General features: G+C 44.3%; 1 pseudogene; it reads right to left on the minus strand.

The window, feature by feature from the left end:
• On the minus strand, positions 3103-4137 carry RPSAP18 (ribosomal protein SA pseudogene 18; annotated as a pseudogene).

Raw genomic sequence — 12517 nt, forward strand, 5'->3', positions numbered from 1 at the left:
CAGGGTGCAAAAATCTGACCCTTTCTCACCTCCCCTACCGCTACTCTCCTATTCCAAGTCATTACATATTACTTAAGACTACCGCAATAGAAACTTACCTCGTTTGTCTACTTCCATTATTGCCATTACAGTTAAACATAAGGCAGCCAGAGTGCTTTTTAAAAATGTAAGGTCTGGCCGGGCGCGGTGGCTCATGCCTGTAATCCTAGCACTTTGGGAGGCGGATGTGGGCGGATCACTTGAGGTCAGGAGTTCGAAACTCGTTTGAAACCAGGCCAACATGGTGAAACCCGTCTCTACGAAAAATACAAAAAAAAAAAAAAATTACCCGGCATGGTGGAGCGCGCCTGCAATCCCAGCTACTTGGGAGGCTGAGGCAGGAGAATTGCTTGAACCCGGAGGCGGAGGTTGCAGTGAGCTGAGATCGCACCACTGCACTCCAGGCTGGGCAATGGAATGAGACTCCGTCTCAAAAAAAAAGTAATGTCGTATTATTTCCCCAGTCCCCACCCTGCTCAAAACCTCCAATTCCCATCACATAATAAAAGTCAAAAGTATGATAGCCTTAGAGGCCATCAAAAAATGAATTGCCTCTAAGGAGGACCCTACATGATCTGATCTAGCACCTGCCTATTTATCTGATTCATCTCCTCCCACACTGCCTAGCTCTGCTCTAGCCTCACTAGCCTTACTGTCACTCCAGTCAAAGCATGTCCCAGCCCTAGGGTTTTTTTCCTTTTCTTGGAATGTCCATCTACTAGATATTTACTAGACTTGAGGTGTCTATTGAAATCCTACTTCCTAACACAGGCAGCTCTTGACTATTGTAACTAAAATGGAACCTCATGTCATCCTCCTCTATCCCCTTACTCTGCACTGTTTTTTTAATAACATTTTTTACCTATAACATTTAATCTAAAATTATGTTTGTGATCCAGCTATACTACTAGAATATAAATTCTTGAGGGCAAGGACTGTGTTTTTATCATCTTTGTAATCTCAACACCTAGAAGAGGGCTACAGCACAAAGTAGCTATTTAATGCCCCACCGTCCTATTCATTCTTTCATTCATTCAGTCAACAACTATTGAATTCCTGCTCTGGAAGGCCCTGTTCTATGTGCTGGGGCTGCAACAGTGAATAGAACCAAGATTCTTGCATTCATGGAACTTATTAGTGCAAGGGTTGGGAGCATAGGAGGAGGGGAGAGACACACAGATAATAAAGTTATAAAGAGTACTGTAAAGGAAAATAAAGCAGAATAAAAATGGGTTACCTGGATGGGTGTGCTCTTTTACATAGGGGATTCAGAGAAGGCCCCTCTGCTGAGGTGACATCTAAATAAAGGTTTGAAGTGAGACAATAAGCTATACATACTTGGGAAAGAATATTTCAAGCAGAAGAAACAACAAGGTAAAGACCCTGCAGCTTGAGTGTGCTTGGCAAGGAAGCCACTGTGGCAAAAGAATAGATAGGAACTTAGTTTGGAGAAACAAGATGGGAGCCAGATCACTTACGGACTTATGGACCAAAGAAAGGACTTTGAATTTTATCCTAAGAATGCTAGGAAGCCATGGAGGGTTTTGAGTAGAAGAGTGGCATGATCTGATTTATAATTGAAGATGTTCACTCTGGTTATTCTTTGAGAATTCCCTATAGGGAAGCCAAATAGAAGCTAAAAGACCAGTTAGGAAGCTATTGCAGAAGACCTGCAAAACTAGTGTTGCAATGAAATTGGTAGGATTCAGGATGTACTCTGAAAGTGGTGGAGAGGTGATGTGTTAATAGATTGAATGTGGGGTACAAGATAAAGACAAGAATAAAAAATCAGTAAAAAAGTACAAAAGTCAAAGTACAAAAATCAGTTTGATTTGAGTAACTGGATAAATAGTGATGTCGTTTACTGAGAGCGCATGTGAGGAGACAGGAGCAAGGTTTTTTTTGGCGGGGGGGAATGTCCAATTTTACTTCAAACATATTAAACTGGAGATCCCTATTAGATTTCCGAATGGAGCTACTGAGTAAACAATTGGAAATATGAACCTGGGGCTCATACAAGGGACAATGAGAGGTATAAATTAAGGATTAATTAAGTTATAAATGGCATACATAGCCATGGGGTGGAGAGAAATCAATGTGGAAGCAAAGAGAAGCAGTTTAAAGACTGAGACCTCTAATCCTGAGGCATTCCAACTAATAAAGGTCAGAGAGGAGGAACATACAGCAAAATTTATTTAAAAAGAGTAGCCAGGAAATAGGAAGAATAAAACTCAAAAGTGAGGGGTCTTATAAAACAAACCAAAAAAAAAAAGCTTCAAGAAGGGGCTATAATCTCCATCATTCCTGTCATAAAACAGGTTAAGATAACTGGAAATTGACCATCGGACTTGGAAAATGGAGGATTAGACCATGGCAAGTCATCTTAGTGGAAGCTATAGGGATAGAGGCCTCCCTTTCTATGATCTGCTTTTTGTACCCACTGTTTTGTGGACACCATGGTTATTACCACCAAATCAATAGCTATTACCACTGAATTCTCCCTTTCTTATTTGGGCTTTCCTATTGAATTTGAGGTTGTGATGATTATTATCCCTTGTGTATCCATCTTGTGACAGATACTCAATCCCACTGGTTTCCGTAACACTATATTCCACGGTTTTGTTTTTATCTCTCTAATCATTTATTTAATTAGCTTCTCTTCCCCTTCATTCTACATGTTCTTTCAGTGATTGTATCCATTCTCACATTTAAACTACTGTCCAGGGCCGGGCGCAGTGGGTCACGTCTGTAATTCCAGCACTTTGGAAGGCCAAGGTGGGCAGATTGTTTGAGCTCAGGACCAGCCTGGGCAACATGGCGAAACCTCATCTCTACAAAAAATACAAAAATTAGCAGGGAGTGGTGGTGTGCACCAGCTACTCAGGAGGCTGAGGTAGGAAGATCTCTTGAGCCTGGGAGGCAGAGGTTGCAGTGAACTGAGGTCACACCACTGCACTCCAGCCTGGATGACAGAGTGAGACCCTGTCTCCAAAAAAAAGAAAAACTACCATCCACGTAATGATGACTTCCAAGTCTTTTATTTTTATTTTTTATTTTTTTATTTTTTAGAAACTGATGTTTATTTTCCATCAACCATTTTTCCATGTTGCTTAAGAGCCCATGCAAGAACAGCTTAAGACCATTCAGTGGTTGCTCCTACCCATTCAGTGGCCTGAGCAGTGGGAGCTGCAGACCAGTATTCCGTGGCAGGCTGAGTGCTCCATTGTTCAGTAGGAACTGCTGAATAGGCACAGAGGGCACCTGTATACCTTCAAACCAGTCTGCAACCTCAGGCTGAGTAGCAGTGAACTCAGGAGCTGGAGCAGACCATTCACCCTGAAATTCCTCCTTGGTCACTGCCTTTTCAGCAGCAGCCTGCTCTTCTTTTTCAATCTCTTCAGGATCTCTGTAGAAGCAGAGATCAGGCATGACCTCCCATGGGTGTTCACGGGAAATGGTGCCACGCATGCACAGTACTTCCCGAGCCAGCATCCACCACATCAAACCCACTCAGTGAGCTCCCTTGTTGTTGCACGGGATGGCAATGTCCACATAGCGCAGAGGAGAATCTGTGTTACACAGAGCGATGGTAGGTAGATTAACATAAGATGCCTCTGTGAGAGGCTGATGGTCAGCCCCTGGGGTCAGTAACCATAAGAAGCCATGGCTCCCAGAAGGCTGCCTGGATCTGGTTAGTGAAGGTTCCAGGAGTGAAGTGGCCAGCAATTGGAGTGGCTCCAGTGGCAGCAGCAAACTTCAGCACAGCCCTCTGGCCAGTATTCCTGGAGGATATAACACTGACATCAGCAGGGTTTTCAATGGCAACAATAGCACGAGCTGCCAGCAGAAGCTTCTCCCAGGTTCCCTTCAGATTTATGATGTAGATGCCATCACTTTTCCTTTTATAGATATACTGTTCCATCTGTAAGTCAAGATTGGTGCCACCTAAGTGGGTTCCTGCTGCAAGGAACTTAAGGACATCCTCCTCCTTCATTTGCAGGACATCAAGGGCTCCGGACATTGTGAAAGTTTCCCTTTGAGTTAACGACGGGAATCCAGAACAACGCCATATGGACCCCTCTGTAGGTAGCACGGAAAGGGACTTCCAAGTCTTTATTTCCAGCTCAGGCTTTAGACTCATGTACCTGATGGCCAATGGCACTTTTTTTTTTTTTTTTTACAGCTTTCTTTCTCCTTTTTTCTCTTTCTTTTTTCTTTCTCTTTCTTTTCTTTTTTCCTTCCTTTCTCTTTCCCTCCCTCCCTCCTTTCCTTTTTTCCCTCCTTTCTCTTTCTCTCTTTATTTCTTTCTTTTCCTTTCTCTCTCTCTCTTTCTCTCTAGACAGAGTCTCTGTCACCCAGGCTGCAGTGCAGTGGCACAATCTCGGCTCAGTGCAACGTCAGCCTCCCAGGTTCAAGCTGTTCTCCTGCCTCAGCCTCCCAAGTAGCTAGGATTACAAGCACCCGTCACCACACCCGGCTAATGTTTGTATTTTTAGTAGCAACAAGGTTTCACCATGCTGGCCAATCCGGTCTTGAACTCCTGACCTCAAGTGATCCACCCACCTCGGCCTCCCGAAGTGCTGGGATTACAGGCATAAGCCACCGCACCCAGGCTTTAACAGCTTTATTAAGACATATAATTCACATACAGTTCACTCATTTGAAGTATACAATTGGCCAGGCACAGTGACTCACTACTGTAATCCCAGCATTTTGGGAGGCTAAGGCAGGCAGATTGCTTGAGTCCAGAAGTTCGAGACCAGCCTGGGCAACATGATGAAACCCCATCTCTACAAAATAAAATACAAAAATTAGCTGGGTGTGGTGGCATGCACCTGTAAGTCCCAGCTACTTGGAAGGCTGAGGTGGGCGGATAGCTTGAACCCAGGAGGCAAAAGTTGCAGTGAGCTGAGATCACACCATTGCACTCCAGCCTGGGCAACAGAGGGAGAGGCTGTCGCAAAAAGAAACAAACAAATAAAAAGTATAAAATACACTCATTTAAAGTATATACTTCAATGGCATTTTTTGGGGAAAAAATGTATTCCTAAGTAAAAAAAAAAAAAAGTATACATTTCAATGGCTTTTTGTATACTCATAGATACATGTGACCATCACCACAGTCAATTTTAGAGTATTTACACCACCTCAAAAAGAAACCTAGTGCCTTTTAAGTTAATCCCCATTCCATCTTCCCATTCCCTCATCCAGAACCCTAAGAAACCATTCATCTATTTTCTGTGTCTATAGATTCCTGTGCTCTAGACTTCCATATGAATGGAATCATATAGTATGTGCTCTTTTGTGACTGGCTTCTTTAACTGAGCACAATATTTTCAAGGTTCATCCATGTTGTAGCATTAATCAGTACTTCATTTCACCTTATGGACAAATAATATTCCATAGTGTGGATGAGCCACATTTTATGTGTTCATCTGTTGATGAATATTTCAGTTGTTTCCACCTTTTGGCTATTATGAATAATGTTGCTATCAACATTAATATACAAGTTTCTGTGTGAACGTGTTTTTATTTCTCTTGGGTATATACCTAGGAATGAATGGAATTGCTGGGTCATATGGTTAACTCTATATTTAAACATCTGAGGAACTGCCAGGCTGTTTTCCCTTTTTTGACGGAGTCTTGCTCTGTTGCCCAGGCTGGAGTACGGTGGCGCCATCTCGGATCACTGCAAGCTCCGCCTCCCGGGTTCACGCCATTCTCCTGCCTCAGCCTCCCAGGTAGCTGGGACTACAGGCGCCTGCCACCACGCCCGGCTAATTTTTTGTATTTTTAGTAGAGATGGGGTTTCACCATGTTAGCCAGGATGGTCTCGATCTCCTGACCTCATGATCCGCCCTTCTTGGCCTCCCAAAGTGCTGGGATTACAGGCGTGAGCCACCGTGCCCGGCCTGCCAGGCTGTTTTCCAACGCAGTTGCACCATTTTACATTCACAGCAGCAGTGTATGAAAATTCCAATTTCTCCCCATCCTTGACAACACTTATCTCACTTTTTGATTCTAGTCATCCCAGTGGCTGTGAAGTGGTATCTCATTGTGGTTTTGATCTGCAATTCTCTGATGACTGATGATGTCGAGTATTTCTTCATGTGCTTATATAGGTCACTTTTATATCTTTTCTGGAGGAATGTCTATTCAGATCCTTTGCCCACTTTTAAATTGACTTTTCTTTAAAAAAAAAATTTTTTTTTTTAGTCAAAGTCTTGCTCTGTCACCCAGGCTGGAGTGCACTGGTGCGATCGTGGCTCACTGCAACCTCCGCCTCCTAAGTTCAAGCAATTCTCTTGCCTCAGCCTCCCGCGTAGCTGGGACTACAGGCATGCGCCACCACACCCAGCTAATTTTTGTAGAGACTGGGTTTCGCCATATTGGCCAGGTTGGTCTCAAACTCCTGACCTTAGGATATCTGCCCACCTTGGCCTCCCAAAGTGCTGGGATTACAGGCATGAGCCACCACATCCGGCCAAAAAACAATTTTTCAGGGAGCCACATCTCACTATGTTGCCCAGGTTGGAGTGCAGTGGTTATTCACAGGCACAATCATAGTACAACGCAGCCTTGAACTCCTGGCCTCAAGGGATCCTCCTGCATAGCTAGGACTACAAGCGCATGCCACCATGCCCAACAGATTTTCTTTGTTCTTTTTCGAGAGAGGTCTTATTCTGTCGTGAACACAGCTTATTGCAACCCTGACCTCCCGGGCTCAAGCAATCCTCCTGCCTCAGACTCCTGTGTAGCTGGGACCACAGGCACATGCCACCATGCCCGGCTAATTTTTTTTTTTTTTTTTTTTTAGAGACAAAGTCTCTTTGTTGTCCAGGCTGTTCTTGAACTCCTGAGCTCAAGCAATCCTCCTGCCTTGGCCTCCCAAAGTGCTGGGATACAGATGTGAGCCACCACACCCGGGCCAGATTGTCTTTTTTTTTTTTTTTTTTTTGAGATGGAGTTTCGCTCTTGTTGCCTGGGCTGGAGTGCAATGGTGCGATCTCGGCTCACTGCAACCTCTGCCTCCCAGGTTTAAGCGATTCTCCTGCCTTAGCCTCCCAAGTAGCTGGGATTACAGGCACCTGCCACCACATCCAGTTAATTTTTGTATTTTTAGTAGAGATGGGGTTTCACCACCTTGGCCACGCTGTCCTCAAACTCCTGACCTCAGGTGATCCACCCACCTCGGCCTCCCAAAGTGCTGGGATTACAGGCGTGAGCCACCATGCCCGGCCCAGACTGCCTTTTTATTATTAAGTATATATTCTAGATACAAGTCTCTTATCAGATATCAGATATGTGATTTGCAAATATTTTCTCCCTTTCTGCGGGTTGTGTTTCATCATGATGTCCCTTGAGGCACAAAACTTTTAAATTTTGATGCGTTCCAACTTATATTTTTGTTGTTGCTCATGCTTTTGGTGCCATATCTAAGGAGACTTTGCAAAACCCGAAGTCATGAAGATTTTACCCGTGTTGTCTTCTAAGAACTTTAGTTTTAGCTCTTTTACATCACTCATCAATTTTATCTTTTGTAAACAGTGTGAGGTAAAAATCGAACTTCAGTCCTTTGCATGTGGCTACCCAGTTGTCCCAGCACCATTTGTTGAAAAACTATTATTTCCATATGGGATGGTCTTGGCACCCTTGTCAAAAATCAATTGACTATAGATATATGAGTTTATTTCTGGAATCTTAATTCTATTACATTGATCACTACATCAATTGTGCCAGTTCCACGTTGTCTTTTTTCTTTTTTTTAGGACAGGGTCTCACTTTATTGCCCAGGCTGGAGTGCAGTGGTGTGATCTTGGCTCACTGCAGACTCAACCTCCTAGACTCAAGTGATCCTCCCACCTCAGCCTCCCAAATAGCTGGGACCTTGCCTGGCTAATTTTTAAAAATGTATTTTATGTAGAGACAAGATCTCACTATGTTGCCCAGGGTAATCTTGAACTCCAGGGCTCAAGGGATCCTCCCACTTTGGCATCTATAAGTGATGGGATTACAGGCATGAGCCACTGCACCTACCCTTAAATTTTTTGTAGAGATGGGGTCTCACTGTGTTGCCCAGGCTGGAGGATTTTTTGTATGCAAGATAATGCCATCTGTGAATATGGTTTTATCTCTTCCTTTCCAGTCTGGATGCCTTTTCTTTCTCTCGCCTGATTGCTCTGGCTAGAACCTTCAGCACAATGCCAACTTGAAGTGGCAAGAGTGAATATCCTTGTGTTCCTGATATTGGAGGAAAAGTATCCAGTCTTTCACCATTAAGCTATGATGTTGGCTATAGGTTACTCATAGGTGCACTTTTATCAAGTTGACCAAGTCCCTGTCTATTCCTGCCAATGGCACCTTAACATTCCAAAGCTGAACTCACTTTTGCTCTAGCTTCTGTCAAACCCAAACTGTTCTGATTCTTGATATTTCTTAGTTGGCACCACTATTAACCTGTCTTAGGTTGGATTCTCTAAAAGCAGAGCCTGAGAAAGTGATTCTGCACAAATGGTTTATTGAGGGAGTGCTCTCAAGTAAAACCTGTAATAAAGTGAGGGAAGCAATATAGGACAGGAGGGGAAGGTTAGCCAAAGTTATAGATTCAGATGGTAAGTTTAGCCTCCACTAGGAACTCTGGAACATAAATGGCACCACATTTGTCCTACCTTGAGGAAAGGGGGAGGAATTTTGGAATTTTTTTTTTTTTTCTGAGATGCAATCTCGCTCTGTCGCCCAGGCTGGAGTGCAGTGATGCGATCTCGGCTCACTGCAACCTCCGCCTCCCAGGTCAGGATAAATTTTTGCCTTTTCCAAAATGGAAAAGGTTCAGTGTAATCAACTCACCATCAAGTGTCTGGTTGTTCTCCTTGAGTAGTACTGAACTGGGGGCTCAGCATTGGTCTGTTGCTGACAGGTTGAACACTCAGCAATAGCAGTAGTTAGGTCAGCTTTGGGTGAGAGGAGTCCATGTTTCTAGGTCAATGAGTAGCCTCCATCTCTGCCACCATGGTGATTCTACTCATGAGTACACTGTGCAAGCACTGGGACAGCTGAGGTAGTCCTGATAAATTCACCCTGTCCAACATGGTGAAACCCCATCTCTACTAAAAATACAAAAATTAGCCGGGTGTGGTGGCAGGCGCCTGTAATCCCAGCTACTCGGGAGGCTGAGGCAGGAGAATCACTTGAACCTGGGAGGCGGAGGTTGCAGTGAGCTGAGATCTCACCATTGCACTCCAGCCTGGGTGACAGGAGCGAGACTGTCTCAAAAAAAAAAAAAAAAAATCATCCTGTCCATCTGGTTACTTAGTCCTTTGCTGGCAATGCTTTAATAGGCTACACTCTCACTGACCCATCCAAATGCTCTTCATCCAACCTTGTCACCCATTTTTAAATCTTGTTTCTTCCAGGCCCCTGACCAGCAAAGCCACTGACCATGAGTTCTTGTATAACTTTATCTCCAGTCACTTTTTTTTTTTCCTCAAAGGAAATGATCAAGTACATTGCCTGAAGCCATACACACTAAGATTTCCCTCATCACTGTCTTTCAGAACCACCCAAGTCTCAGTGAGAGGCTGTAGTCCATCTGGCTTACCCCAACATAACAGGGCAGTCTACCCATAAACCAGGCCTAGATTTTTCCCTCCTTTGTGAGGTGGTTGAAGGAATTTCTGTATGGCCAGAGGCATGAGCTAAGAAAAAGGAATCAGTGCACCAGAGGTAGGTGACAGGGGAGTGCTGGGGCCCCTTGCTCAATTTAACTTACTTGTGCCACTAAGTTTGCTTGGGCTTCTTCCCAAATGTACCATTTCCACTGTAAGATGGCTTGCTGCTATATACACCCAACCTCATGACTTGGAGGGTCTAATGATAACCAGCTGGTTATATGGGCAACTGGTCACACGGTCACTTGATATCTCATGGTCAGGCACTGAGTCTCTTCCAGGGCCTAACAGCAAACCAGAAAATGCATTTCAAATGGTAAAACTTTTTCTGCTAAAAATGGCATCACCTTACTCCAGAATCCTGGAGGTCTGGGCTGGAACCGTCCCTCCTACTGGGTATTATCAAAGAATCTAGTCTCTTTTCCTACCACAGATACCTCTAATACAATGGAATTTTCCAGGTGATATGGCCCCCCTGGACCTGTTGCAGAGCTGTTTCTTGCATCCCCAAGTGCAGAATATGCTGCCTCCAAAACCGTAAGAGGCCTGAAATAACCTGTACTTTACTTTAGAGGTGATGTTCCAGAATGCTTCAGACCACTGAACTAAAAATTTCACCAATGTCGCAGGCCCCTGCATCTTTGCAGCATTTATCCCCCATCACCTTGAGTATATATGTCTAACCAAGGAATCCAGAGTACTTGACACTGCTTAGTTGTTGGGTCTGATTAACATATCCTTAATACCTGATTTGTATAACTTTTTTTTTTTTTTAAGATGGAGTCTCACTCTGTCGTCCAAGCTGGAGTGCAATGGCACAATCTCAGCTCACTGCAACCTCCACCTCCCAGGTTCAAGTGATTCTCCTGCCTCAGCCTCCCAAGTAACTGGGACTACAGGCATGCGCCACCATGCCCAACTAATTTTTGTATTTTTAGTAGAGACAGGGTTTCACCATGTTGGCCAGGTTGGTCTCAAACTCCTGACCTCAGGTGATCCACCCGCCTCAGCCTCCCAAAGTGCTGGGATTACAGGTGTGAGCCACCACGCCAGGCCAGATATTAAGTATTTTCAATTTTGCAGGCCATATGGTCTGTGTTGCAACTACTACATTCAGCCATTGTAGCACAAAAGCATCCACAGACAATATGTAAATAAATGATAGTTGCATGTTAATAAAACTTTATTTGCAAAAACAGGTAATGAACCAGATTTGGCCTGTGGGCTGTAGTTTGCTGATCCCTGTGCTAGATTAGCAGCTATATACCTATAAAAGAGGCTGTTACTTTGTCTAGTAAAGAAAGCATACCCAACACAGCACTGCAATTGGACTACTACTTGCTTAAGTTTGTAGTATTCCATTGTTATTCACCATAGGCCATCTAGTTTTTGCACAGGTCAAACAGCTGAAACTGAATGTGACTATAATGGAGACAACACCTCTACAACCTTTAAGTCTTTAAGGGTTGAACTAATCTCTGCCATTTTCCCCAGAATACAGTATATTTACTATCTTGGCAGAGGTGGGGATGCAGTTTCAGGAGCATGGCCTTTCTGCCAAAACTGCTAAACATATTCATTCTGATTATACATTTGGAAATGGGGGAAATGATCATAATGTGGGTTTTTGGACCCACTGTGAGAGCAGGGTTGGGGGTGTTGAGAGGGGAAGACACTGTGGTGGTACTTCAGGTTCCTGGGTATCAATGCCAACTCAGACCCTGTAACCCTGTTTCCCAAGTCAAAAACTTCTGCATATTCTTTTCCCAGTGTTTGGTTGTGATATTGTAAAATATGTATTTGGTCTTTAACCCCTTTTCCTGGAATATAACTTCTAAAATCCTTAAAATCTTCAAAGTGATGTCTTATTGTATTCCAATGAGTTGACTGATGGTTGGCATCCCCTAGGTAGCTTCAGGTTCAGGGTCAGTCAACAAAAAGACCAAAGCAGTATTAGAGGGTTGGAACTTTCAACCCCACCCCCAAACCTCTAGGGAGGACAGAGGGGCTGAATTTTAAATTAATCACCAATGGCCAATGGTTCAGCTAATCATGCCTATATATAAAGCCTCCATAAAAACCCAAAAAGACAAGATCTAGACAGCTTCCAAGATGTCAAACACATGAGGGTTTATAGAATGAGGGGTCCCCAACACCTGGGCCACGAACCAGTACCAGTCCATGGCTTGTTAGGAACTGGGCCTCACAGCAGGAGGTGAGTGGCAGGTGGGCCAGCAATACCGCCTAAGCTCCACCTCCTGTCAGATCAGCAGTGGCACTAGATTCTCAGAGGAGTGCAAACCCTATTGTGAACTGCACATGCGAGGGATCTAGGTTGTGTGCCCCTTATGAGAATCTAGCTAATGCCTGATGATCCGAGGTAGAACAGTTTCATCCCAAAACCATCCCCCCACCCCCCTCTGTGGAAAACTTGTCTTCTATGAAACTGGTCCCTGGTGCCAAGAATGTTGGGGACCGCTGTCCTAAATGGTGGCATGCCCAGAGAAGGAATGGAAGCTCTGCAACCTTGCCTTATACATCTTTTCATCTTTTTTTTTTTGAGAGATGGAGTCTTGCTCTGTCTGTTGCCCAGGCTGGAGTACAGTGGCACAGTCTCAGCTCACTGCAACCTCCGCCTCCCCAGTTCAAGCAATTCTCCTTCCTCAGCTTCCCAAGTAGCTGGGACTACAGGCATGCACCACCACACCCAGCTAAATTTTGTATTTTTTTAATAGAGACGGGGTTTCACTATGTTCGCCAGGCTGGTCTCGAACTCCTGACCTTAGGTGATCCACCCACCTCGGCCTCCC

Source organism: Homo sapiens, chromosome 1, assembly GCF_000001405.40.
Source record: "Homo sapiens chromosome 1, GRCh38.p14 Primary Assembly".
Lineage (NCBI taxonomy): Eukaryota > Metazoa > Chordata > Mammalia > Primates > Hominidae > Homo > Homo sapiens.